The sequence below is a fragment of the Homo sapiens genome, chromosome 3, assembly GCF_000001405.40.
Source record: "Homo sapiens chromosome 3, GRCh38.p14 Primary Assembly".
Lineage (NCBI taxonomy): Eukaryota > Metazoa > Chordata > Mammalia > Primates > Hominidae > Homo > Homo sapiens.
Genome location: NC_000003.12, coordinates 184,174,082 through 184,197,533, shown reverse-complemented (window position 1 = coordinate 184,197,533; position 23,452 = coordinate 184,174,082). Strand labels below are relative to the sequence as shown.

Below are 23,452 nucleotides of genomic sequence, written 5' to 3'. Positions count from 1 at the left end.
GCATGGTGGCTCACACTGGTATTTCCAGCACCATGGGAGGACAAGGCAAGCGGATCACTCGAGGCTAGGATTTCAAGACCAGCCTAGGCAACATAGCGAGAACCTGTCTCTACAAAAAAATTTAAAAATTAGCAGGGCGTGATGGTGCGTGCCTGTGGTCCCAGCTACTGGAGAGTCTGAGGCTGCAGTGAGCTAGAATTTTGCCACCACACTCCAGCCAGAGCCACAGAGTCAGATCCTGTCTCAAAAGAAAAAGGCTCTTTTAAGGTTGGGCGCGGTGGCTGACACCTGTAATCCCAGCACTTTGGGAGGCCAAGGCGGGCAGATCACCTGAGGTCAGGAGTTTGAGACCAGCCTGGCCAACATGGTGAAACTCTGTCTCTACTAAAAATACAAAAATTAGCCAGGCGTGGTGGCAGGTGCCTGTAATCCCAGCTACTCAGGAGGTTGAGGTGGGAGAATCTCTTGAACCTGGGAGACAGAGGTTGCAGTGAACTGAGATCGCGCCACTGCACTCCACTCTGGGTGACAGAGTGAGACTCCGTCTCAAAAAACAAACAAAAAAAGTCCTCTCCCAAGGCCATGCTCCTGGTGGCAGCTGGCACCCAAAGGCTGAGCACTTGAGCAGAATGGAAGCCTGACCACCTGCCCTGACTTAGAACAACTCTGCCGGGCTAAGCTGGCGGAGGCGCACACTGGGCTTGCATTGCTGCTCAACCTCTCCCTCTGCTCCAGTCTGTCACCTGGGCCTGCTTTCCTGGGTGTTGATCCCAGGAGCAACCACAATAAATGCCCTGCATGTTGGCCTCTCCAAGCCGCTTCCCAAGGAACCCAACCTGTGACAGGCACAGCAGATGCAGAGATGACTAAGCCACAGTCTGGCCTTCAAGAATGTCAAGGCCAAGTGGGAACTGCGATCTCATGCAGCTCGCTGGGGTTAGCACAAAGTGCAATGAAGCCTGGTTGGAGGGGCTGGAATTGAGGGAGTCCAGGCCCTACTGGGGACCAGCCAGGTTGCCCACGAAGGTGTTGGTGAGTGTGGTCTGGCCAGGAGAAACAGGGAGCCCAGGATTTCACTGAAGAATCTGTGGACTGAGGCCTAATGTCAGCAGAGCAGCTCCAGAGTCAGCAGCTGTGGAAAGACAGCCCCCCAGCTAAGTGGGGTTTGGGAGTGAAGAGGAGGCTGCCGTGATGCGCAGTCCAGAGTGAGCAGGAGTGACCTCCCACTCTTCCACGCCAGGTTCCTCTCTCTCCCTTCTCTGTCCTGTGCTTTCCGAAATGGAGCTGGCTGACACCACGTTTTCCATCCTTCAAACCAACTATCTTCTGCTGACTCCCCTCTCACCTCCAAAAGCTAGGCCTTTCTCAGGGGCTCCAGTTCCTTGATCCCGCCTCTCTGAAGTCCTGCAGCACCGGCCCGTATTGCCATACATGCAGGCTGCTCACACGACTTTCATGGAATCATAAAATTGGAAGCCACCCCGGAGGCCCATCTAGTGCTGCCTCCTACCTCAGGGAGGGCCCTTCTCTACAGCCTGTCAGGGCCGAACAGTCCCACTGACTGGGAACTCTCAGAAGACAGCCTGAGCTAGTCACTTTCCTTCCTTTGAGCCCAAACTGATCTATCTCTGGAGTCACTGATTGAAATATCACTTCTTTTCCCATATGATAGTCCTTCAAATCAGATGGTCACACAAGAGTCACTTTTTTGAGTGCTGATACATTGTTCTTGTCAGCAAATCCTCATAACAATCCTATAAAGAAACCAAGAAGGTGCTCAGAAAGGTTGAGGAATTTGCTGTGGCTACCTTCTGCTACCAGCTGTGGTTATTTCTGCTACCAGCAACAGAGCTGAGATCTGATATTCGACTCCAACTCCAGTGCTCTTGAAGCACAAAAGCAGATTTGGCATCACAGAACCCTCCAGATGCATTCCCAAGGACTCTAAGGAGTTGAGAGAACTCCTCTAGGGTTCACTATTGGTGAGGGGCTCAGAGGCTGGAAGCCTGGCAAGTAGGCAGGCATGATCCTATAACGGATGGCTCCCTGATACACCCACCTGCAGGTCTGAAGTTGGAAGAGAATTATGAGGGCTGTGAGCAAGCTCTCTGGAGTGCTGAGCTAAGGGTGCCCATGGCCACAGACATGGGAGGAAGGATGCCAAGGAGGCAGGCACATTAGTCGTCCTTCTGCCAGCTTCACCAGTCCACAGAGCCTTGCTGTCTTTATCTTCTTTAACCCCCGAAACAGGGCTCTCTCCCCGGCGACCCATACCATGCTACCCTCAGCAGCTCAGAGTTAAGATTCTTTGGTCAAGCTTTTTTTTTTTTTTTCTTGAGAAGAAGTCTCGCTCTGTCGCCCAGGCTGAGTGCAATGGCACGATCTCAGCTTACTGCAACTTCCGCCTCCCAGGTTCAAGCTATTCTCCTGCCTCAGCCTCTTGAGTAGCTGGGACTACAGGCATGTGCCACCACACCTGGCTAATTTTTGTATTTTTAGTAGAGACGGGGCCTCCCTATGTTGGCCTGGCTGGTCTTGAACTCCTGACCTCAGGTGACCTGCCCACCTTGGCCTCCTAAAGTGCTGGGATTACAGGCGTGAGCCACTGCTCCTGGCCTGGTCGAGCTTTTTGACTACAATCTGCATGAAGGCGGCAAGTTCTTTCTGCTGACTTTGTTGTCACTGAGAGCAACGCAATATGTCTGTTTTATTTTTTTCTTTTGAGAGAAGTGGTCTTGCTAAGTTTCCCAGGCTGGCCGCAAACCCCTGGGCTCAAGCAATCCTCCCACCTTGGCCTCCCCAACAGCTGGGACTACAGGTGCGTACCACTGTGCTCAGCTCAAATGTCTCTATTTTAACGTCCTCTGCATAACAATGACATATAACAGCTAACTCCTCAAGAAATAATATTTATAAATGATACTACCTGTGTTCAACATCTCTCCCCTCTTAAAGATTGCTTCATTTGAAAAGAAAGTGTTCTATGCCTTCCTGTTAGACCCTGTCCTAAATTCCCTATTTCCCAGGCCCCTCCTATATGGTTAGAGGAAATATAAAGAACATGCAATCACCCAAGCAAAGTGAGGACAAAGATGGTTTCTCTTCAGTGCTGAGTCTAGAGAGCAGAGAAGCAGGGCAAGCCGGAGCCAGATATGACTGGAGAAAGCAGCTGGCCACGTGTGAGGCCAGGTTACACAATCAGTTCAACTGCCCATCAGTGGGGGCTGTGACGACAGAACCCAAGACCCCTTCAGCTGAGGCTGAGCCCAGGCTAGGGCTAACAGCACCGCAATGATGCCAATACACTGCCCTTCATTCCACTGGCTCAGCCCACCCCAAGGTCAGGCAGGCAGATGACCTCCATGCCCCAGTAGCTTGACAATGTCTCTTCTAGAGGCAAGGCTGGTGCTGCTATTGCTTCCTACACGTGAGGGATACAAGTGCCATAGGAAAACGCCAATCCGAGAGTCCACAGCCCTCAGTAGGAGGCAACCACTGCCCAGGGAGCAGCAGACATGAGGCAAAGGAGACGCGGGGAGAGATTTAATTTACATAGCAGCCACTTGGGGTCCAGTCAGAGCTGGGGCAGTGGGGGAATCTATAACCCCAGAGGGTACCCCCCAGACCCCCACCCCCGGGAGACCAGTCCTCACCAACCCTTGGATGGGCTCCCAAGGTTGTGCAGAAGATGCTCCAGTCAAAAGGATAGAGACATTTGGGAATAAGGCTGTCCCCAAGTTGGGGGAAGTCCACGGCCTGGAGTGGTGGCCTACATGGTGGCCCAGGGGTCTGAGAGACCAGTCCATGTCCTGGGCGAGTCCTCAGCCTGGTGGCCCTAGAGGAAGCCTTCGCGGCGGAACTGTTCCTGGAGGAGGGCGCGGTACTGGTCAAATCCTCCTTCCACACGGGTGACGCCGCCTCCTTCGCATACCCACAACTCCCGGCACACCAGCCTGATAAAGCGCTCATCGTGGGACACCAGAATCACACCACCCTGAAAGACAGGAGGGCAGGAGGTGCTCAGGGGGACACAAGAGGCACCGAGGCCTGGGAGGAGTGGTCAGGGTGAAGGCACACTCACCCTGAAATTGTTGAGGGCACGGCCCAGAGCCTCAATGGTCTCCATGTCCAGGTGGTTTGTGGGTTCATCCAGAATGTAGAAGTTGGGGCTGGAAGGCAGAACCAGGAAGGTGGGCAGTGAAGGGGTGCGGTGAGAGAAAATAAAGCCTTCTGATACAGTTTTCTACTGGGCAAGAAGGGGAAATGGGAGGGGAAGAGCTCTGGAAAATGAGGCCTCACCAGGGCATAGTCATCTGAGCAAAGGCCACTCGGCTCTTCTGGCCCCCAGACAGGCTGGCAAGAGGACGCATGGCCAGTTCTCCGGAGATGCCATACCGACCCAGCTGGTGACGGTACTCCTCCTCAGGCCGCCCTGGAAAAGGACTCCCCAGATCAGGTGGCTTCTTGGCCCAACACCCTCCCTGTGCCCTCCAGCCACACCTCCAAGTCCCCATGTCCTTCCATCTAGGCTTGGCGGGGCTGCTCTGCACGCACCCCAAGGCAGGCCTAGCTGCCGGGGTCAGCCTCAGCCCTCTTCCCTACTCAAACTCTTCCCCCGACTCAAATCCCTAACTCACCAGGAAACTTGCGTGCCAGCAGTTCCACAGCACTGACGTTTAGGTCCAGCTGCTCCACATGGTGCTGGCTGAAATAGCCAATCTTCAGATTCCTGCAGGCAGAAGCCGAGGTGGAAAAACAGACAAAGGCAATGGCCACGAAGGAGCGCAGGCAGCATGGGTGCCTGCAAATGTGCTCATGGGGGCAGGGGTGCGGGTGGGCCTGACCTGTGAGCGTGTCTGATGCCCCGAACAGGTGCCAGGTCCCCCAAAAGCAGCTTCAGCATGGTAGACTTCCCAGCCCCATTCTCTCCAACCTTAAGAAACATGAAAATGTCATACAGTGTGTGCCAGAAAAATAAATACGGTATGTTCTCATTCATATGTGGGCACTAAAAAGTGTTGAGCACATAGAAGTAGAGAGCAGAGTTGTGGTTACTAGAGGCTGGGAAGGATAAGGGGGGAGGAGGGGAATTGAGAGAGGGGTTCGGGAGAGGTTGGTTAACTGAAACAAAATTGCAGTTAGATAGGAGGAATGGAGGAATAAGTTCTAGGGTTCTACAGCACTGCAGGGACGCTACAGTTCACAATGATAGACTGTACATTTTCAAAAAGCTAGAAGATTCTGAATGTTCCCAACATAAAGTGATAAATGTTTATGATGAATATGCTAATTACCCTGATTTGATCATTACACATTGTATACATGCATGGAAGTATCACTCTGTACCCCATAAATATGTACAATTATGTATCAATAAAAAGAGCACCGCTGTGTGTAACACAGAGGAGAAGGAAATTAGAAGGGGTCCCAGGCAGTCCCCAGTCCCGATGACTCCTTCAACAACCAAAAAAATATTTTTAAGGACTCTAGCCGGGCACGGTGGCTCAGGCCTGTATTCCCAGCACTTTGGGAGGCTGAGGCAGGCAGATCATTTGAGGTCAGGAGTTTGAGACCAGCCTGGCCAATATGGTAAAACCCCATCTCTACTAAAAATGCAAAAAATTAGCTGGGCATGGTGGCGGGTGCCTGTAATCTCAGCTACTTGTGGGGCTGAGGGAGAACTGTTTGAACCCGGGAGGCGAAAGCTGCGGTGAGCCAAGATTGTGCCATTGCACTCCAGCCGGGGCAACAGGGCAGGACTCTGTCTCCGAAAAAAAAAAAAAAGGAACTCTAACTCTACAGAAAAATGCATATACTAAGGTGAGCAATACTTGAGTATTTGCTAAGTGCTGGGGACTTACTTTTCCCAAGAACCAAGTGAGGTAGATGTCAGCGCCATCTTAAGAGTTAGGAAGCTGCTTGGTAACCAAGCTAGGAAATGGCATAGTCAAGATCCGAAGTCTGACCCTGAAGCCCATGCTCTCTCCTCAATGTCTCCAGGTTTAGAAAACTCAGAACCGAGACCAATAAGGTAAAGCACTGCTTTAAGTATTTTTAAGTATTTTTAAAACACTATACACTAGGCTCTTCCTCCCTGAAGAGCAGCGCTGTGCGGCCAGAGGACAGGGCTAGTGTAAGTCCTGCAAAATCCTTAGCCCGGGCCCTCACTCCTGTTCCACAGACCTCGTCCCTTTACAGCCTGAGGATCTGGGCCAATCCACACCACACACTTAGACAGGAGAGTCCCAGCTCGCAGCACAGAGAAACAGCAGCCTTACCACACAGATGCGAGACTCGAGATCAGCAGACACAGAGAGGCGACTGAAGATGACGTGCTTCGGATCGTAGTAGAAATCCACCTCATCTAGCTGCAGAATTGGCGGCGAGAACTTCTCAAACCCATCAGGGAACCTGCAGGAGGTAGGGGTGAGGATGTGGGGGCAGCTGGAAGCAAGCAATTCCCCACCAGCCCCACTGGCCCAGCACTTACTTCATTACGACCTCTGATTCCTTGTCCACAGGCTTCAGCTCAGGCCTGGGAGAAGAGATGAGGTAGACTAGATTTATTACTTAAAAAAATAACTTCCTACACGAGTAATATATGTTCAGAGAAAACTTAGAAAGGGCTTGTACTCCTACCACTCAGGTATCATTACTTTAGAGTCCATTCTTCTCATTTACTGTATGCTAAAAAATAGAATTAGGCTTTTTGTGACTTTTTATCCCCAGTTACTATATTGTGATATGTTTCCACGTCGCAAACATCTAAGCTTTATGATTTTAAGCTTCCTGCCAGCACTTATAGAAAGGGCACTTCAAAATTAAACTCCCAATGCACATTATCATTAGTTATTAAGGCAATGCAAATCAAAACCACAATGAGCTATCACTTCACAGCCACTAGGATGGCTAAAACTAAAAAAAAAAAAGTCAATAACAGTGCTGCCAAAGACATGGAGAAATTGGAACTCTCATCCCTTGTTGGTAGGAATGTAAAATGATGTTGTTGCTTTAGAAAACAGTTTGACAGTTCCTCAAAACATTAATTTGGAATTACCAGGTAACCCAGCAATTCTGCGCCTAGGTATACACCCAAGCAAGCTGAAAACATATGTCCACACAAAAATTTGTACACCAATGTTCACAGCAACATTATTCATAATAACCAAAATGGAAACAACCCAAATGGCCCCTCATGACTCAATAAACAAAATGCTGTATATCCACACAACAGAATATTATCCAGCCACGAAAAGAAATGAAGCTCTGACGCACGCTACAATATGGATGAGCCTCACACATGACGCCAGGTAAAAGACACCAGGCACAAAGGTCATATTGTATGATTCCATTTATATGAAATGCCCAGAATAAGCAGATACGTAGAAGCAGAAACAGAAAGTAAATTAGTGGTTGCCATGTGCTAGTCAAGATTAGCCCTCCAAGAACAGTGTGGAATACTCTGCTTCCCAGCAGAGGAGGAAGTCACAGTTGGCTTCTAGCGAAGGGGAGACCTAGAATGGTAGGGCAAGGGTGGCGTGCAAATGCGGAAGGAGACGAAGAGAACAGGAGTCAGGCCCTGGCCAAGGATGCTGTACTCACAGCTTCTCCAGCATCTTGAGTTTACTCTGCACTTGAGAGGCCCTGTTGGCATTGTAGCGAAACCGGTCAATGAAAACCTGCAGGTGGAGGAGTGTAGGCATTGGTCAAATTCCCCCACTATCCCCCACTCTGGAACCCCTGGGATGGGACCCCCAGCCCTGCCAGGCCCCACACCTGGATGTGCTGGCGATACTGCTGCTGCGCCTCATATTCACGCTGCTGGTTGAGCAGCCGCTCCTGCTTACTCTTGATGAAGGTCTCAAAGTCTCCCCGGTAACCATCTAGCCGCTGGCTGTGCAGGTGGATGATGTCTGTGGCGATGGCATTCAAGAAGTTGCGGTCGTGGGAGACGACTAGGATGGTGGAGGGCCACGTCTGAGGGGTCACAGGACAGCAGGCCCGGTTTGGGAGGGCAGTCAGTTCTCAGGCCCCCAGGTATCTTGGAGGCCGCCTTTCCCCAACACACTCCAGCACCCACAGGCACTCACCTGCAGGTAATTCTCCAGCCACAGGATGGCCCTGACATCCAGCATGTTTGTAGGTTCTGGAGAAGCAGGGGAGCACACACTTGGGATTGAAGGGCTGGAGAACTAGGAACTTGGATGCTACCACCCCTGCCCATCCTAAAGTCAGGGTGCCCCATTTCAAACTCACCATCTAACAGCAGAAGATCTGGCCTATGAAAAACAATACATGGCCTGAGGTTTTAGGTCAGCAACTCATGCCACCTCCCAAGAGCTAAGACCAATCTTCCATAGGGCTTCATACACTGGCCCAGGAGACTCACCTAGCAAAGAGGGCCCGGGCCAGGGCCAGCCTCATCCTCCAGCCACCTGAGAACTCCCTAAAGAATGATGGAGTCACATTATGGGTGGGTGTTCATCAGGGCAGGAAGGGGCTGAGACAACAGGGTTCAAAGCCAAGAATGGCAAGGGTCACTCACCGGGTGGGCTGCTGCTGCATTTTAGGGGTAAAGCCAAGCCCAGCGAGAATGACTGATGCCCTAGTAGAGAAGAAATCGAAGAACTCAGTTGGAACAGTCCACAGAAGGGAAAGGAAATCTGAAGGAGGGAGGGGGAGCTTTAAATACCTGGCAGGTGCCTTGTCAGCCTCAATCTCCTCCAGTTTGGCATAGATTTCTGCCAGCTCTGCAGCTTCAGAGCCCTCCGCCCTGGAGGGAGGAGAAACAGCAATTGGCCTAAGCAGGGGCAGTCTAGGAGGATGTCCTGCACCCTATACCGTTGGAAAGGCCATTGGCTACCTTGTGGCTGGAAGAGGAAGAGAATACAGGAAGGGTTTGCACAGTGCTCATTACCTTGGGCACTATGGAAATGGGCACTGTGGAAAGAACAAGAAAGGGCAATGGGCACTGTGGAAAGAACAAGGGCTTCTGAGTCCCAGAGTGCCAAGTTCTAAGCTCTGCTGATTACTAGGATGTACATGCAAATTATGGATTGTTCCAGGACGGCAGGCGCTCTGTAAGCGACAGCGGCTGCTAGTTACTCCCTAGCCGGGAGTCCTCACCTGCCAGCAGCAATCTGGGCAGTGAGCTCCCGCTCCCTCCGTAGCAAATCCTCTCGCACACTGTCACTCTCCAGCACACTCTGCAGGGCAGGAGTGTCATCTCCAGCAACCTCTTGCTCAACGTGCAGCAGGGAAATGTGGGCTGGAACCCGCAGACTCCGGGTGGCCAGCATCTTCAGTAACGTTGTCTTCCCCAACCCATTCCGCCCCACCAGCCCGTAACGGCGGCCCCATGCCAGGTTCACATCCGCTCCAGCCAGCAGTACTCTGCAGGAGTGGAGAAAGGAGACCAAAGATGCTCTAGAAATAGGTGCACAGCAAGTTTAATGACAAACCTAACATTGTTTATAGCCCCGTTTCACCTCTCCAAATTGTCCTCTAATTAGAAAAAGAAAGCCAACCCCTGCCACCACTATTCCCTCACCTATCGCCAAAAGACACATCAAAGTTCTCAATTCGCACATCATAGGATTTGTTCTTGCCAGATGATTCCAACCGACTCTCCTTTCTGCTGCCTGCCTGGCTGGCTGATGCCTCTTCTAAGACTCTTTAAAGGGAGAAATGGACAGCTCTTAGTGCTCCCCACCACCTTCTGTCCAGGCAAAAGCTGCTCTGCTCTCTTCTGAGCCATGCTTCCCCCACTCACAGAGGGTTGCTGGTCTTGAGCGTGTCCTTCTCTGAGCGCTTCTCCTGCTTTGCCTTAAGTCGAGCCTCGGCCTTCTCTAACTTCTTTGCATTCACTGTCTAAGGGTCCAAACACATCGACTTCACTCTCGGGTGTAGGCTCAGAAAGGAACCCCAAGAGAGAACATCTCGAGTAAACCCTCTTAACTTACCCATGATGAACAGACTCAAAGGCTCAGGAAAAGACATAGTCAGAAATCCCCCCAAAAGATACTCCAATTAGACAGTCAACTCCCAACCCCATCACAGACAGTCCCCTCCCTTGCTTCCTCCTCCTCACCGAGGACTGTTCCCTCTTTAGCAGTCCTGGAAGTTTGGTTCCACAGTCTGTAAGCGATAAGAAAAGCAGTCACCTTCTCCCTGAGGGAAGGGAAACTAACATTTTGAGTGACTAATAGGAACCAGGCACAGACACAGATGTTTTCTACAAAACCTTATAATACTGCAGATAGATGGCTATTATCTTCCCTGCACTAAAAACAAAACAAAACAAAACAAAACAAAACTCACGTAGAAGGATACAGAGGCATAGACAAGGCTGGGGACAGATAACCAACTCTTACAAGATCATGCAGCTGGTTAGCAAGTTGCAAAACTGGGGGTGAAAGCAAGTCTGTCCAGCTCCAGGCTCTTATGCTTCCTATCCTACCCAAGAGCTTGGAGGGAGAACCCTCCAACCTCCTCCCCACCCCCATCATGGGCTCTTCTGCCCTCGGTAAAGACATCAACTAGCTCCTACAACCTTGTCCTGTGGAAAAGACGTAGGAGCCCTAAGCTGCAGGCAGCAGATGGTTGGGGGCGGAGAAAAGCACAGGGGGGCAGTTAGTTCAACCTCCCCTCACTCTCACCGTAGTTCTCCGTTATCTTTGACAACTGGATAGGGGCGTCCAGTAGCACCTGGCTATTTCCCTGGCTTTGTGGCTCAGCCCTATGTGGGTAGGGATAGAAAGCGCAGAGTTAGGAGTTGAGGGAAAAGCTCTATGGCCATCAGATCTTCCTCCCCCACCTCTTGTCTCCGGACCGTTCGCCGTCCCTTCGCCCCCATCAACCCCTACTCCCTGGCACATACAGACGCAGAGTGTTGTACATGCGCTGGCACACGGCCCTGATGCCCGCGTCATCCTTGCTGTCCCCGGACACCTCTTGCAATAGTTCCCCTACAGCTTCCACCAGGTCATCCACAGACTCGAAGTCCGCGCTGCCGCTGTGCAAGACGCCTGGGCAGGGCGTGGTAGAACGAGGAAGGTATCGGGTAGGGTGGACACACAAGCAGTTTCAGACCCCAGACAGAGGCCCCAGTCCAGGCTCCAGACCCAACCAGCCCCCGGGACAAGAGGTCATGCAGAGGAGAGGCCTGGCAACAGTCCCGGGCACGACGCTCGCTTAGACTTTCCCCCGGCCTCCACTTCGGTCTCCCCAGCCGGCCGATTCAGTTCTGCTTACCGGTCACGTAGTCGAAGACTTGTCCGTCAATTTCGGGGAACTCGCTCCGCAGGATTTCGGCGCAAGTCGCCATGTTCCACTCAGGAACCCGTCCGCGCAGTCGCTGTGAGACCCCGGCCTAGGCCCGCCCCCCGCCCTGCCCCCGAAATCTCGCCCTTCCTTGCAAGGCGCATGTGTAGCGGTGACGCAGGAAAGGAGCGGAGTGCGCAGAGCCCGGTGGGCGGGGCGAGCGGGGCCTTGAGGAGAGGCGCCGAGTCTGCGCCGGAGCCGCGCTCTCTGCGCGTGCGCGACACCTTTTCCGCTGAAAGATTAGCCACATGTGCGGTTCTCGCTGCCTTCTGGGAGGTGGAGTTCCGGGAGCGAGGGGTGGGGCAAAGGCTGGGAGCTCAAGGTTTATCGGGGCCGCGAGGCACCCGTGGTCTGGCGGGTGGGAGCCTCCCAAGAGGCAGGCGGCTGATAAAGCACTTTGGCTTTGCCAGGTTTTATGCGCTCCCTCGAGGCGCGTCTGCTGCTGGTGCGTACCCAGTCAGGCCCATTTTGGAGCCTGCCCAGAGCTTTGCTGACTCACCCCGGTCCCTGACTCTCAGAAGCCCCCTGCTCAGTGCTTTGCTTTCGCGGGTCCCCAGACCCTACGGGCTTCTCAGCCTGGTGGCCAGCGCCACCCGCCTCCCCGCCGCGACCGCCTTTTCACTGTGTAATTCAGCCGACCTTTGTGAATTAAGCCCATTCAGTTCTTCCACCACCCCAGGGCACGACCAAATCCACCGCCAAAGGGCAAGAAAACCAGGACAACGTGGCCTGTATAAATTATTCCCTACCTACACCCTGAGCAGACTTCTCTGCACTCAATAAATGCCAATAAAAGGCTATTTCCTTTCACCGATTCCCTCGGGAAGTTAGGAATTTCCTCCAAAATGATGCTACTGCTTTATATTTAACGTGAATATTCCTCCAATTGGTCTCTAAAAGTGGCACCGAAAATTACATTATTACCCATTCATCCCTTTGGATTAAACATTGCCATCATGAGGCATCAATCCCGATATTGAACCATTTTACAGGAAATACAGGTAAAGAGGAATATGTTAAGTGACTTCATGGGGACAACAGGCAAATTCTGATGTGGTAAACTACAGAACTCTGGTTTCTTCCACAAAATTGCAAGACCTGAAGGGAAACATCAATTTTTAAAATTTGAGGAGCATTAACCAACCACAATGGACCTTATCTGGAAAAATTTGATAAGACACCTGGTTAAGTGAACACAAACTGGATGTGATATTAAGGAACTGGCCACGCATTGATCATAGTTGAAGCTGGGTGATGAGACATGGAGATTCATTATATTCTTTTTTTTTTTTTTTTTAATTTGAGAAGGAGTTTCGCTCTTGTTGCCCAGGCTGGAGTACAGTGGCGTGATCTTGGCTCACCGCAGCCTCCACCTCCTGGGTTCGAGCGATTCTCCTGCCTCAGCCCCCGAATAGCTGGGATTACCGGCATGCACCACCACGCCCGGCTAATTTTGTAATTTTAGTAGAGACGAGGTTTCCCCATGTTGGTCAGGCTGGTCTCGAATTCCGGACCTCGGGTGATCCACCCGTCTCGGCCTCCCAGAGTGCTGGGATTACAGTGTGAGCCACCGCGCCCAGTCCATTATGTTATTCTCCTTGCAAATCTTTCCTCCTACCACCCAGTCAGCAAGATTTGGGAAGCTTGGGTAAATGATGGAATTAAAAGGTCAATTTCTTAGGATGGCTACAAGACCAAATGTAAACTTCACACTTAATTTATGCTTAATCTAATTAGAAAACATCTGCCTAAGAATTAGAGAAAGAGCTGGGTGCTGTGGTGGTGCGTGCTTGTGATCCCAGCTACTCCAGAGGCTGGGGCAGGTAAGATCTCTTGAGCCTAGGAGTCCGAGGACCAGGGGGAATAAAAAGGAGCTAGGGAAAGAATCTATCCCCAGGGTACTGGGGCCCGCTGCGGCTGCATGCCCTTGAGGCTTTCTAAGAGGAGCCAGGAAACCTGGGCCCAGAACCCACAAGGATAAGGGCTTGGATGGCCCAGGAGGGGCCTAACTGGGACAAGACAAGGAAAGAGCCTTTAGAGTATTCAGTACAGAAAACTGCACGGAGAGCAACACCAGTTCCCTCCCCATGTAGCTCCCACATCAACACTAAGCCAGCAACTCCACTCTACAGAGTTTATTGGGTTTGTAACTGGACGAAGTCACACGTGTACAAAATGAAGCTCACACTATCCCAAAGCAGAGTAGGGACTGAGGCCGGGGATCCATTACTGGCCTTTGGGGGAGCTCTGAGGTGAGGGGCAACCAACCCTCCCACTCCAGAGCTGTGGCCACAGGGGTGGGAAGGAAAGGGAACCCACCTGGCTTTGGTCACAGAACTCAGAGCCTGGCATTAGGCCAGGACAGACAGGTGGATGGGAGAGCAGGAGCCTCAGAACTCCCCTGCCCAGGGAGCCCAGGGGCTGCTCCACCGGTCCCACTTGTAATGTGCTTGGCCCAGACCTAGACTCGGGCTGGTGCAAAGGGAAGGCAGCAAAGCAGGAGGGAGGAGACACTGATGTGTGGTGGGGGAGGGAGCGGCACCTGGACCTGTGGAGGAGGGTGGCTGGGGAGGTGGGCTAGCTGCCTAGTGGCAGCTAGCAGCGAGTTTCATAAATGCCACTGCGGCCAATGTAGCGCACCCATTTGATGACATCATGGTCGCTGTAGTTCAGCTTCGGTTCAAACACCTTCAAGTAGCGCACCTTGAGGCCAGAGGGCGCGAATGGCACCTGGGCAAGGAGAGCTAGTTAGAAATGTGGCCTTCCTCTTACAGCCGCTCTCCTCTGGGAAGTCCCGTTGCCCTGCCCTACTTCATCGCTACTACAGGTGTTTGTATGGCTGGGGTCCTGAAAGAAGCTGGGGCGGCGTGGGACCTTCTAAGAGGTGACTAAAGAAGAAAGCCCTACCTGTGACACCTTGAATCAGTTCCTTTAATCAGCAGGAGACAGCAACCAAAGAACTGCTTTAGAACATACTTATCCTGCTCAATATTATGAACTTAAAAATAAGGTGGAGAAAATTATGTCTAACATGCGCAAAGCAAAGTCAGCCCATTATCCTGTCTGTAAGTAAACTTTGTGTCTTACCTGGCATTTAAACAATCTAAGTTTTTTGAAAGAACTGTGTTAGGACAAGCCGAGAGAAGTAAAAGATTTGCCTCATCACAAATAGTAATTTCTACTAAGAGGCTTGAAAGGGGAAGAATGGATCTATGAATTAAAGCCAGTTCTTCTTTCTAGGCCTCAGTTTCCTCACCTCTAAGGTGCAGCAGTTTATCGGAATGATCTCTAAGAGGTCTTCCAGCATACCCTGGCATGACTCTAGGCCCCTCCTCTGCCATACCTCAAAGTTCATGGAAATGGGGGGTCGAGCCCATTTCTTCTTGTCGTTGGTAGGCAGAAGCTCAATCTCTGCGCTGATCTGCGATTCCTTCATGCCTGCCATGCGCTTGATCCTGGGAACACAGGGACAATGGGCAGCCCATTGGGGCTTGGAGGAGTTTCAAGGGCAGTTGCCCATTTCAAGCAAGGAGAGAGCCCAGGAGCTTGCAGGAGGTGCCAGAACAAGGAGAAGTGGTCAGGACCCTGCTAACCACTTGCTATGGAAACTTGGGTCTACTTCTTTAGAACAACAGGATGCAGTTTCTGCCTAGACACTTGGACATGCTATCGTTTGCTTTGTCTGCTTCACAGATACATTACAAAGGCAATGTATTCCCTTTGTAATGTATACATTACAAAGGGAAATGCCAAAGCATCTTAAAAAATAAGCACGTGCATGAACCCAAATGCAGGCGTGTACATACTCACATGGAGGTATAAAGACTGACAGTACAAGCAGAGGCTCCTAGAAAAGCAAACAGGCACACTCCCCTGCCCCTCATTCAGAAGGATCAAAGCTGAAAACAAGAGGGTATACTGGGATCTTGAGCCCTGCTGTGGCCTAATGAAGGAAAGACTCACTTCCACACGATGGCATTCTCGCTGGCCTTGTACTTGGCCTTCCCCTTCATGCAGATCACCTGCACCCCGCTTGTGTTCAGTGGGGTTGGGATCCTCACCTAGAAGTGACACACCTGTCAGGGAGCTCTGTCAAGCTGTGACATCAGCTACCTTTATTCCTAGGGACAAGTTCTTCCTCCTCCTTGAGCCCCCTGTCCTCACCTCGATCTTCTGAGCCAGCAGTGAGGGTTTAAAGTTGGACTTGATGACCACCTTGACCTCCAGTTTGGTGCGTCCCACTTCTCGCACTAGCGGGATCACCCGGAAGGGAAGGATGATGTCCTTGGTTGTGCGATACCTTAAGGGATGGGAAGCAAGGTTACCAAAGAGCTGACCCACTTCCTCTCCCCAGTCTGCCAGCAGCACTAGCTGCCTCCTCACACCCCAATGGCACCTCATAAGCTCAAACTCTCCATCTGGCGGGATAAAGCTGATGCTGCGTTCAGAGTCAAACTTGCTGAGTCGCACACACTGGTGGAAGGTGCAGTCATCAATGGCAATTGATTGCTTCCCGCTGCAAGCAGGGGCAGAAGAGGTCTCATTGGTACAGGAGAATGACAGCTGTCATGCTGGGAGACCACTCCACCCCAGGCTGGCACCAGAGACTATGAAAAGCTGCTAGAATGCAGCTTTGTGACTCGGAGGTCTGCCCCAGAGCTTGGGATGAGAGGGAAGCCTTGCAAGCTCATCTCTTGGGGCTCCTTCTGCTAGGGACCTGGGTGTTTCAGGCACACTGGGCAGAGGCTGTCAGTATGTACAGAAAAGGCCTTGGTCCTAGGGACCAAACAAAGGGGCTTGCTCTCTGAGGACGATCCCCTCATCTCTCGTAGCACTAATGTCAAGAGCGAACAGCCAGGCTTACCGTCAGGAACAGAGTTTGCAATTACAGTGGGAATGAAATCCAGAAGAAACTTGTGGTTCACTAGACCCCACTGAGCCCTCCAAGGGACACCCTCTCCCACCAGCTCTCCTGCCTCAGGCACCTCTTGCTTGTTTCATCAGCTGTGCCTTTGCCCTGCTTTTCAATAACAATCTTGTCATTCATCCCAAACTTGCATTCAGGCATGCCACTCAGGTAGCTCTTCATCACCACCCGGCCCGACACATGGGCACTCAGCACCTGCCCTGGTGATGGAACAGATAAATGGGGAGCAGCGGAGTCAGGCAGGCAGGCCCAGGATCCTGCCCTGGGCCCCCTCCAACTTTGTCGTGAGAGGGACCTCACCTTGTGGGGACATGAGCAGGTTCACACTCTCCAGCACATCCAGGAAGAGCTCATTCCGACGATACTTGATACCCTCTCGCCGCCAGCCAATCTGCCCAGTTACCTGGCTGGTGATCTGTGACTGCTCTTCTTTTGTCTACATGAGGGCAGAAACAAACAGCAATGGCCTCACTCCTCTGTCCCTTTAATCATCCTGTCTCTATCCCCACTCCACCCTCATTCCCCATCCCTTCTAGTCCCCACCTGTAATCCATTTTCCCCTATAAGCCCCAAAGGGCAGGGCCTGGAGAAACAAAGCAAAGCTGCAAGGGTGGAAGCTGAGGGAAGAGCTTACCTGATGCTGGAGGCCGCAGGGCCAACGAGGTGCCCACATGAAGCAGCAAGGGAGGCAGAAAAGGAGGAGAAAGCTATGAGGCTTGGATCCTAGAGGAGAGGGCCCAAGCTCGCTCCTCCTGAGGAATACCAGGCCTCAAGACCAGGCCTCCTCCCCCACCCCTCAGTGCAAAAGGAAACTGCTTGAGCTGTATTCCTGGTAATAGAGATGCTGAATTGGCTGCTCCTGCAGTGGGAGGACCACACAGAGCAAAATCGGCCTGCAATCATGGCAGGAGGCTCAGGCCAGCACTTCCTGTCATGGGAGGGCTCATGAGTCAGCTCAGACAAGGCTCAGGGGCCAGCTGAGATGAAGGGAGATTGGACTCCACCCTGACTATAGTCTGCACAATTCAAGTACCTGACTCTTGATGCCCTGCTGCGTGATGAAGGTTTTCAGCGCGCCTGTCTCGGAATTCTGTGGGTAGCCAAAGTCTAGAATCTCTGCAAAAAGAAGGGAACCATCAGCCCCTGGACAGAGCTTCTTCATTCCAGCCCCTACTTGGGCCTACACATCTGACCGGCACAGCTCCCAAAGCCCATGTGGGATCATCCGCAAGAAAGTCTTCTAGCTTTGTAGCATTTATTCTGTGATTTGTGCTTTACAGGAAAACAATTCAAATGTTTGATTTTTTTCAAATAGAGAAATCAAGGCCAGGTGCAGTGGCTCATGCCTGTAATCCCAACACTTCGGGAGGCCAAGGTGGGAGAATCACTTGAGCCCAGGAGTTCAAGACCAGCCTGGGCAACATAGCGAGACCCAGCTCTACAAAAAGTAGTAAAAATGAGCCAAGCATGGTGGCATGTGCCTATGGTCCCAGCTACTCAGGAGGCTAAGGCTGGAGGATTGCTTGAGCCTAGGAGGTCGAGGCTTCAGTAAGCTGCAATTGCACCACTGCACTCAGCATAGGTGACAAGAGCAAGACCCTGTCTCAAAAAAAAAAAAAAAAGAAAAGAAATCAATAGAAGAGTCACATGGCCAGTGGGTGGCAAGTCAAGAAGCTTTGAGCTGTTTTCTCCAGAAAATAGACATTGGGAAGGTGGAAGTATTCACCTTCTCTTAGATCACACTCTACAGAGGAACAGAGATAACAGTGCACCCCAAGAGGCTTGTAATATCTCACTCTCCCCCAGGCTCTGAAGCAGCTGCTGAGATGGAAAACTGGGTGGACAGTTAGTGAACTAAGGTCCAAGCCACAAAGGAAAGAGGATGAATACAGGAGGTTCAGCCACCAAACCTGAGTCAGGTTCCTAGCCCCTTGGAAGATCACCTGCTGGCCTATTTCTGTGTTCTACTTCAGACCAGCCTTCAGGTCTGGATGTGAACTGGCCTTCTGAGGGGCATAGAGATCCTAGCCCAAGAGACCAAATACTCAGGAAAGAAAGTTCAGAGTGTACCAGAGCCTCGGACCTACACCCACCTTCAGGCCAGGCCCAGCCTGGTTTTTTCCCACCCTACGCCCGCTGCCGTGCCAGCCCGCCAGCCTCACCATCCAGCAGCTCATATATGAGCACAAAATTGTTCTTGATGTTTTCCTCGCTGATCTTGCCAAAGTAGGCAGCCATCACGTCACACATCTTATAGAGGAATTCGAAGACCATGGCAGCGTTGACATTCTGCTTGGTGACTGCTGCCAGCCAAATGTTGGACCGCTTAACGTGGAAGAAGCTGGTGCGAGCAATGTTGGTGACGGGGCTGCGCACCTGCTGCCGGGCATGGATAACATTGACCCGAAAGGCATCCACTGCGTTCCTCCTGAGGGAAAAGAGTGCATAGGGCCTGCTCAGCACCCAGGTGAACCTTACCCCATAAGGATCAACCACAGCTGCTAACAGCCCCACCCTCCTTTCTGCAGAAGTCTGACACACACACTCCAAAGAAAGCCAATGCCTAAACCACTGGAGTGGTTCCCTTCTTATGACTCCCTGTGGAGGCATGGGAAGAGTGCCTGAGCTGGGCTAGTGTCTAAAGGCCACAAGAAATAGGGAAGTCAACTATTAAGGCTGATGTAACCTTAATAAAGTGAGGTTCATCAGGTTTAGAGACAGATATTCCTTACTCCCAGGGCTGGCCCTAATTTCCCAGCTTTATCTAGCTTCCCTGTAAGCTCCCAGGTCCAGGACAGAAAGAGACACTGCTTCTTCAGTCCTCCCGCTAGTGATCCCACCAGTGGGGAGGGCCGACTCCTCCAGATGTTAGACAAAGCCAGCATGGCTTCAGAAGTCACAAAGGAGGGAGAAGTACCAAGGGGCCATGGAATTGTGCTACCCATTCTTGCCCAGGATCCAACTCCAGAGCAAGTTGAGGGAATGAAAAAGGATGCAGGAAAACGATGGGGGCAGGCCCCCACCCACCTGTACCTGGGCAGCAGCTTGAGAGGCCGCTTACCTATTGCTACGGCAGCCAATGAGATGGGATGAGAGAAATGACGCCAGCAAGAAGAGGAGAGTGATAGCAACGAGAGAGAGGGTTAGACACACAACACACCGGGAGGGCGGCACACACCGTGAGGCAGAAGCAGACAAGACAGGCAAGGCGGCGTGTGACCTGGCCTTGGCTTGCCCAGTCCATCCAAGGCAGGAGGGGGTCTGGGGTGGGGGGTGTAGCCAGCCAGGTTCAGACAGGCCAGGCCTTGCCACAGCTGCAGCTCTAGCTCATGCCACACCACCAGCCAATGGACAAACGCCCGCAAGGGCCAAGCCAGCCCATCAGCCAGGGAGCCAAATGAAGAGCACTGCCACAGGCCCATTCTGTGACTTTATCTCAAGCTCTCTGAGGAAGAAAAACAGGCAGCAGGAACCAGAGGAGCCTACTCTTTAGCGCCTCGGAGGCTAGGATAGGTCCCTTCAGTCGCAAAGAACAAGGGCGTGCAAGGGGGCGCAGAATGAGAAGGCAGGCTGTGGCTCTGTGTGAAGGCCCAGGATATGGAGCTGCTCTGGGTCTACTGAGAGGGTAGCATGGCTTCCCTGCCCTCCCACAGTGACCCAGAGAGTGCCTCACGCTTCCAGCCACTCCCCAGGGAATGGGCCAGAGGAACTGAAGACAGCTGAGTCAGCAGCCTGACGACTCCTGAGAAAGGGAGCAGGAGAGGATTGGGCAGCCTGGAGGGGCTTTCAACAGAATCCAGTGAAGGCGTTTGATATGGGAAGGGCTTCTGAGAGCAAGGCTTAGATGGATTAGTGCCTCCAGCGTGGCCACTAACCCCACCCACTGGAGACATTTCTCCTCCTCCTCCTCAAAGAAGGAATTCACCAGCCTGGGCAAAGGCACTGTAACTAGAGAAACAGGATGCAGGAAGGGAAGGAGTTCCTAAAGCTGTGGGACCATGCCATTCCACAGGTCCCACCTAGGGGCTGGCAGGCTGGCTGCCGGGCCAATACCACCAGACCTAATGGGAGCCAGGCTACACTAGCTGAGCTTCCAGGGTGCAGCCAGGGGTCAGGGTGGCCCAAGTCAAGCCAATGGTGGGAAAAGACCTAATCCTGTATGCTGGGGCTGGGGGGCTGGAGTGGTGGGGCACAGCTGGCTCCGCCAGGGGACTCACCCGATGTCATCTCGGTAGACTCGGGAGATGAGCACCTCCCCCTTGTGATTATAGATGAATAAGCCTCCAATCATGGCGGCAGATCAGTCTCCGCGGCCCATCGCTCTGAGAACAGACCTAGGACAGGCGGGGGCAGGGTAAAAGAAGACCTCAGAATCGCTGCCAACATCCCCTGTGGAGCTGTGCAGGTCACTGGAGCTTCTTTCCTGACTCAACCCTTTAGTAAGTGACCCTGCAGCCCTCCCAGACATGCCCCTCCCCTCAGCCAGGCTCCAGTTCCTGTTTATTCCACACTAGATGGGAGAAAGAAACAGAGAGAGATTAGGCCCAGGATTCTAAGGCCATTTTGACCCTCCCTTTCCTGGGGCTGAGCATCAGTAACCCCCGCCCCCTCTCCCCAGCACTGAGCTCAGGAATGATCCTTTTCGGCCCCCTCCTGTGCAGACTCTCGGGCTCCCGCCAGTGACTCACTAAGGCTTGCCTGCCTGCCTGCGGCTGCAGGAATGGCGGTAGGCATTACTCCAGTTGGTTCAGGCCTGGGGCCCCCAGGCATAACCTTTAGAGCATCCAGTCTCTTGGGCTCCACTACCCTTCAGAGAAGGTCGCAGGGCCTGAACTTCCGGCACTCTAATTCACAGAATTCAAACATTCCAGGAAAGGGTATAAGGAGAAGAGAAGGGAGCCCTTAGGCCCTAATGTGGACCCGGGAGTGTGGCTTAACCTCTTCCAGGCAGTGGAATAAGCAGGCAAAGGGCACAGGAGGAAGGTCCTAGGGCTGGCAGACTACACTTCCATCACCCAAGCTGCTTATTACAGTTATTTCTGATTACCACCCCCCTTTCAAAAAGCTCTGGAATGCAATAAAAATAAGGACTGGGGGGTGGGGGTGGCGCAGGCTCATAAAATTAAGAAATCCTTCCATCTGAAATCGTGATTCCAGGCCCATGAAGTAACTCATTTCTGGCCTGGGTGCCTATAAGCAAGAAGCAGGGATGTCAGGATGCCTGAATTATCCAAATTATTTGGGTCAAATTAATTTAGACTGTTTGAGAAAAGGCATTAATTTGGTTTTAGATTTCCTGGATTAGCCCTGGTATTAATTTCACAGGGAGTACTTTAGAGGACTTTTCTAAACTGGAAAATAAAGCCTTTTCCTGTGGCTGTCAAGGTCTTCCAGAGGGGTGAGCGGTCTCTCAAGGTGGTGGACTCATCCCATCCCTCAGTCCCAAACAGGCTGGGAGAGGAGATGCAAAATGGAGGTAGAGCCTGGGGCAAAGCACCAAGTCCACAGGTATCGAGTGGTAGGTAGCGAAGGGCACCCGAGAACCAGAGGGGGGCCTTGGGCAAGAATGGAACATTTAGTTAAGGGGAAAGACCTTCAGTGAAAGCCAGGCAGCGTCCTCAGGTGAGCCCACAGCAGCAAACTGGGCTGGTGGAGTGAACGTAAAGGTAAGGGTTTCCAGTATGGAAAAGGTCAAGGCTTTAAGAAGGAAAAACCGGCCGGGGGAACTGACAGTGGTGAATAAGGGAAAGCTGGGGAGACAGAGCCTGCTTGGGGTTCAGGTGCAGAGTAATGAGAGGGTGGTAGGCTTTTCGCCTTGGGGAGGACATTGTGGGAAAAGATGGTGCCATGGGGGTGCGGGGGCTGTCACAGGTCTAAGGAAGAAGAGCCGCGGGGTGCCACTGAACTAAGAGGAGGGGGTGCCGCATGGCGTGAGACCTGTCACGGTGCAAGGCGGCGGCACAAAGGGGTGTCACTGTCCTACGAGACGGGGAAATTGTCCTTGCGCGGAGGGGTAGGGGGTTGGCACGATCCTAGGGAGGGGGCGCTGCGCAGCGTTCCTGCTCTGGGAGGATTCCAAGCGGTATCCCTCTCATGGGAGGCGCCAGGCGGGTCAGGTGGAGGGCACCGCTCCCCGCCAGCCCTGCAATCGCGCCCCGGGCGCCCCCGCCCCACCGTCAGCTAGCTCCCGGGTCCGAAGGCTGAAGCCACTCCCGGGTGTGGGCAGCTTTCCGCCAGCTCAGTGCAGGGCAGGACAAAGCTGCGCGGCGAGGCAGACGACCCGCAGCGTCCTCCTCCACGCCATAAGGCCAGATCCCCGGCTCACCTGGTGTCCTCGGCCCCCTGCTCTGCCGGCCCGGCCACTCTCCGGATCCCAAGATGTCCGCCCGCCCCCTGCTCGTCTGCCCGCTGCCTCGGCTTTCACCGCAGTGCCGCCGCCCCGCCCCGGCCCCGGCTGCGCGTGCGCGCCGGCGTCTAGCGCCGACTACAAATCCCGTCAGGCCTCGCGGCCTCCTTGCTTGCAATTTGAAGCGCTCTAGGTTTAGCAAAACTACAACTACCGACTGCCTTCGAGAAACCGCCCCCGCCTCAGGAAGGGGTAGGCGTGGCCTTAGTCGGCCCTACCAGAAATACACATTCCAGCATACACCGCTCCACCCGCCTCATTTTTTTTTTTTTTTTTTTTTTTTTTTTTTTTTTCACTGAGCGCTCTGGGAATTGTAGTCCCTGCACTTCCTCCTGTTCCTATTTGTGTTCTGGAGAGCTTTGGGATATTAATGCCATTTGTGGAAGCACATCTGTTAAGCCTTGGATTGCTGTAGGCCTTTTCTGTCTCCAGAGTCCCAGGACTGGCTGTCCTCACTTTACACACAAATAAATACAACTGGGCAGTAGAAGTGTTTGTGCTGAATTTACTGCTTTCTAACACTACCTCTGATTCTCTCAAGCTTTTCTCATATATTTGTTCCGGACATGAGCTTTTTCCAAGGGATCAAGACCCAAGGAGAGGAGCGGGGAGGAAGGAGGCGACTACTTGGAAGAAACTAAACCTTTTCACAAATAAGTCCATGACTGTACACTCTTCCCGGAGGTCAGCTACAGCTTTTCATGAACGAGCCGATGTTCTCCTTAGCTATACCTATGCGACTGTGTATGCCTTCTAGTGACAGGCATATATGTTGCTTAGAAGACGTTCGAAGAGTT

At 52.5% G+C, this 23,452-nt stretch overlaps 2 protein-coding genes across 8 annotated transcripts, besides 9 other annotated features; both read right to left on the bottom strand.

The window, feature by feature from the left end:
* Positions 3,529–11,335, bottom strand: ABCF3 (ATP binding cassette subfamily F member 3). 5 transcript variants are annotated; one of them, NM_001351299.2, is made up of 22 exons: positions 11,254–11,335; positions 10,880–11,027; positions 10,659–10,738; positions 10,091–10,137; positions 9,773–9,870; positions 9,551–9,673; positions 9,127–9,393; positions 8,864–8,870; positions 8,693–8,773; positions 8,546–8,605; positions 8,390–8,446; positions 8,257–8,279; positions 8,091–8,146; positions 7,777–7,977; positions 7,603–7,679; positions 6,491–6,535; positions 6,279–6,411; positions 4,845–4,933; positions 4,638–4,729; positions 4,300–4,432; positions 4,082–4,169; positions 3,529–3,994 (listed from the first exon to the last, which is right to left on the bottom strand). In NM_001351299.2, exons 7-22 carry the CDS (start codon positions 9,224–9,226, stop codon positions 3,836–3,838), a joined length of 1,401 nt encoding a protein of 466 aa, NP_001338228.1. In that variant the 5' UTR covers positions 9,227–9,393; positions 9,551–9,673; positions 9,773–9,870; positions 10,091–10,137; positions 10,659–10,738; positions 10,880–11,027; positions 11,254–11,335; the 3' UTR covers positions 3,529–3,835. The 5 variants fall into 5 exon arrangements, with proteins under 5 accessions (NP_001338228.1, NP_001338229.1, NP_060828.2 ...); NM_001351300.2 differs by lacking the exon at positions 8,864–8,870 and having other exon boundaries at positions 10,091–10,170; NM_018358.3 differs by lacking the exon at positions 8,864–8,870.
* Positions 6,057–7,256: an enhancer, noted in NCBI's record as "MED14-independent group 3 enhancer chr3:183908066-183909265 (GRCh37/hg19 assembly coordinates)". NCBI's record gives its function as "activates an origin of replication core promoter dependent on BRD2, BRD4, P300/CBP and CDK7 cofactors, and independent of MED14, by STARR-seq in HCT116 cells {active_cell/tissue: HCT116}" and the evidence as "EXISTENCE:reporter gene assay evidence [ECO:0000049][PMID:35650434]".
* Positions 11,031–11,350: an enhancer, noted in NCBI's record as "active region_20904". NCBI's record gives its function as "activates an Ori minimal core promoter by ATAC-STARR-seq in GM12878 lymphoblastoid cells {active_cell/tissue: GM12878}" and the evidence as "EXISTENCE:reporter gene assay evidence [ECO:0000049][PMID:35858748]".
* Positions 11,828–12,542: an enhancer, noted in NCBI's record as "H3K27ac-H3K4me1 hESC enhancer chr3:183902780-183903494 (GRCh37/hg19 assembly coordinates)". NCBI's record gives its function as "activates a minimal SCP1, AML or CMV promoter by ChIP-STARR-seq in naive H9 embryonic stem cells {active_cell/tissue: H9 hESC(naive)}" and the evidence as "EXISTENCE:reporter gene assay evidence [ECO:0000049][PMID:30033119]".
* Positions 13,443–22,679, bottom strand: AP2M1 (adaptor related protein complex 2 subunit mu 1). Of its 3 annotated transcripts, NM_001311198.2 has the most exons (14): positions 22,575–22,679; positions 20,467–20,583; positions 19,923–19,991; positions 19,311–19,316; positions 18,412–18,677; positions 17,283–17,365; positions 16,884–16,889; positions 16,550–16,685; positions 16,308–16,449; positions 15,719–15,838; positions 15,487–15,622; positions 15,286–15,383; positions 14,666–14,777; positions 13,443–14,052 (listed from the first exon to the last, which is right to left on the bottom strand). In NM_001311198.2, exons 2-14 carry the CDS (start codon positions 20,538–20,540, stop codon positions 13,918–13,920), a joined length of 1,383 nt encoding a protein of 460 aa, NP_001298127.1. In that variant the 5' UTR covers positions 20,541–20,583; positions 22,575–22,679; the 3' UTR covers positions 13,443–13,917. The 3 variants fall into 3 exon arrangements, with proteins under 3 accessions (NP_001298127.1, NP_004059.2, NP_001020376.1); NM_004068.4 differs by lacking the exons at positions 19,311–19,316; positions 19,923–19,991; NM_001025205.2 differs by lacking the exons at positions 16,884–16,889; positions 19,311–19,316; positions 19,923–19,991.
* Positions 13,836–14,350: an enhancer, noted in NCBI's record as "H3K4me1 hESC enhancer chr3:183900972-183901486 (GRCh37/hg19 assembly coordinates)". NCBI's record gives its function as "activates a minimal SCP1, AML or CMV promoter by ChIP-STARR-seq in naive H9 embryonic stem cells {active_cell/tissue: H9 hESC(naive)}" and the evidence as "EXISTENCE:reporter gene assay evidence [ECO:0000049][PMID:30033119]".
* Positions 19,939–20,233: a silencer, noted in NCBI's record as "tiled region #464; K562 Repressive non-DNase unmatched - State 14:Gen5'". NCBI's record gives its function as "represses a minimal TATA promoter and a strong SV40 promoter by Sharpr-MPRA in K562 cells {active_cell/tissue: K562}" and the evidence as "EXISTENCE:reporter gene assay evidence [ECO:0000049][PMID:27701403]".
* Positions 19,939–21,029: a biological region, named in NCBI's record as "Sharpr-MPRA regulatory region 464".
* Positions 20,074–21,029: an enhancer, noted in NCBI's record as "NANOG-H3K27ac-H3K4me1 hESC enhancer chr3:183894293-183895248 (GRCh37/hg19 assembly coordinates)". NCBI's record gives its function as "activates a minimal SCP1, AML or CMV promoter by ChIP-STARR-seq in primed H9 embryonic stem cells {active_cell/tissue: H9 hESC(primed)}" and the evidence as "EXISTENCE:reporter gene assay evidence [ECO:0000049][PMID:30033119]".
* Positions 22,302–22,351: a silencer, noted in NCBI's record as "silent region_14957". NCBI's record gives its function as "represses an Ori minimal core promoter by ATAC-STARR-seq in GM12878 lymphoblastoid cells {active_cell/tissue: GM12878}" and the evidence as "EXISTENCE:reporter gene assay evidence [ECO:0000049][PMID:35858748]".
* Positions 22,562–22,631: an enhancer, noted in NCBI's record as "active region_20903". NCBI's record gives its function as "activates an Ori minimal core promoter by ATAC-STARR-seq in GM12878 lymphoblastoid cells {active_cell/tissue: GM12878}" and the evidence as "EXISTENCE:reporter gene assay evidence [ECO:0000049][PMID:35858748]".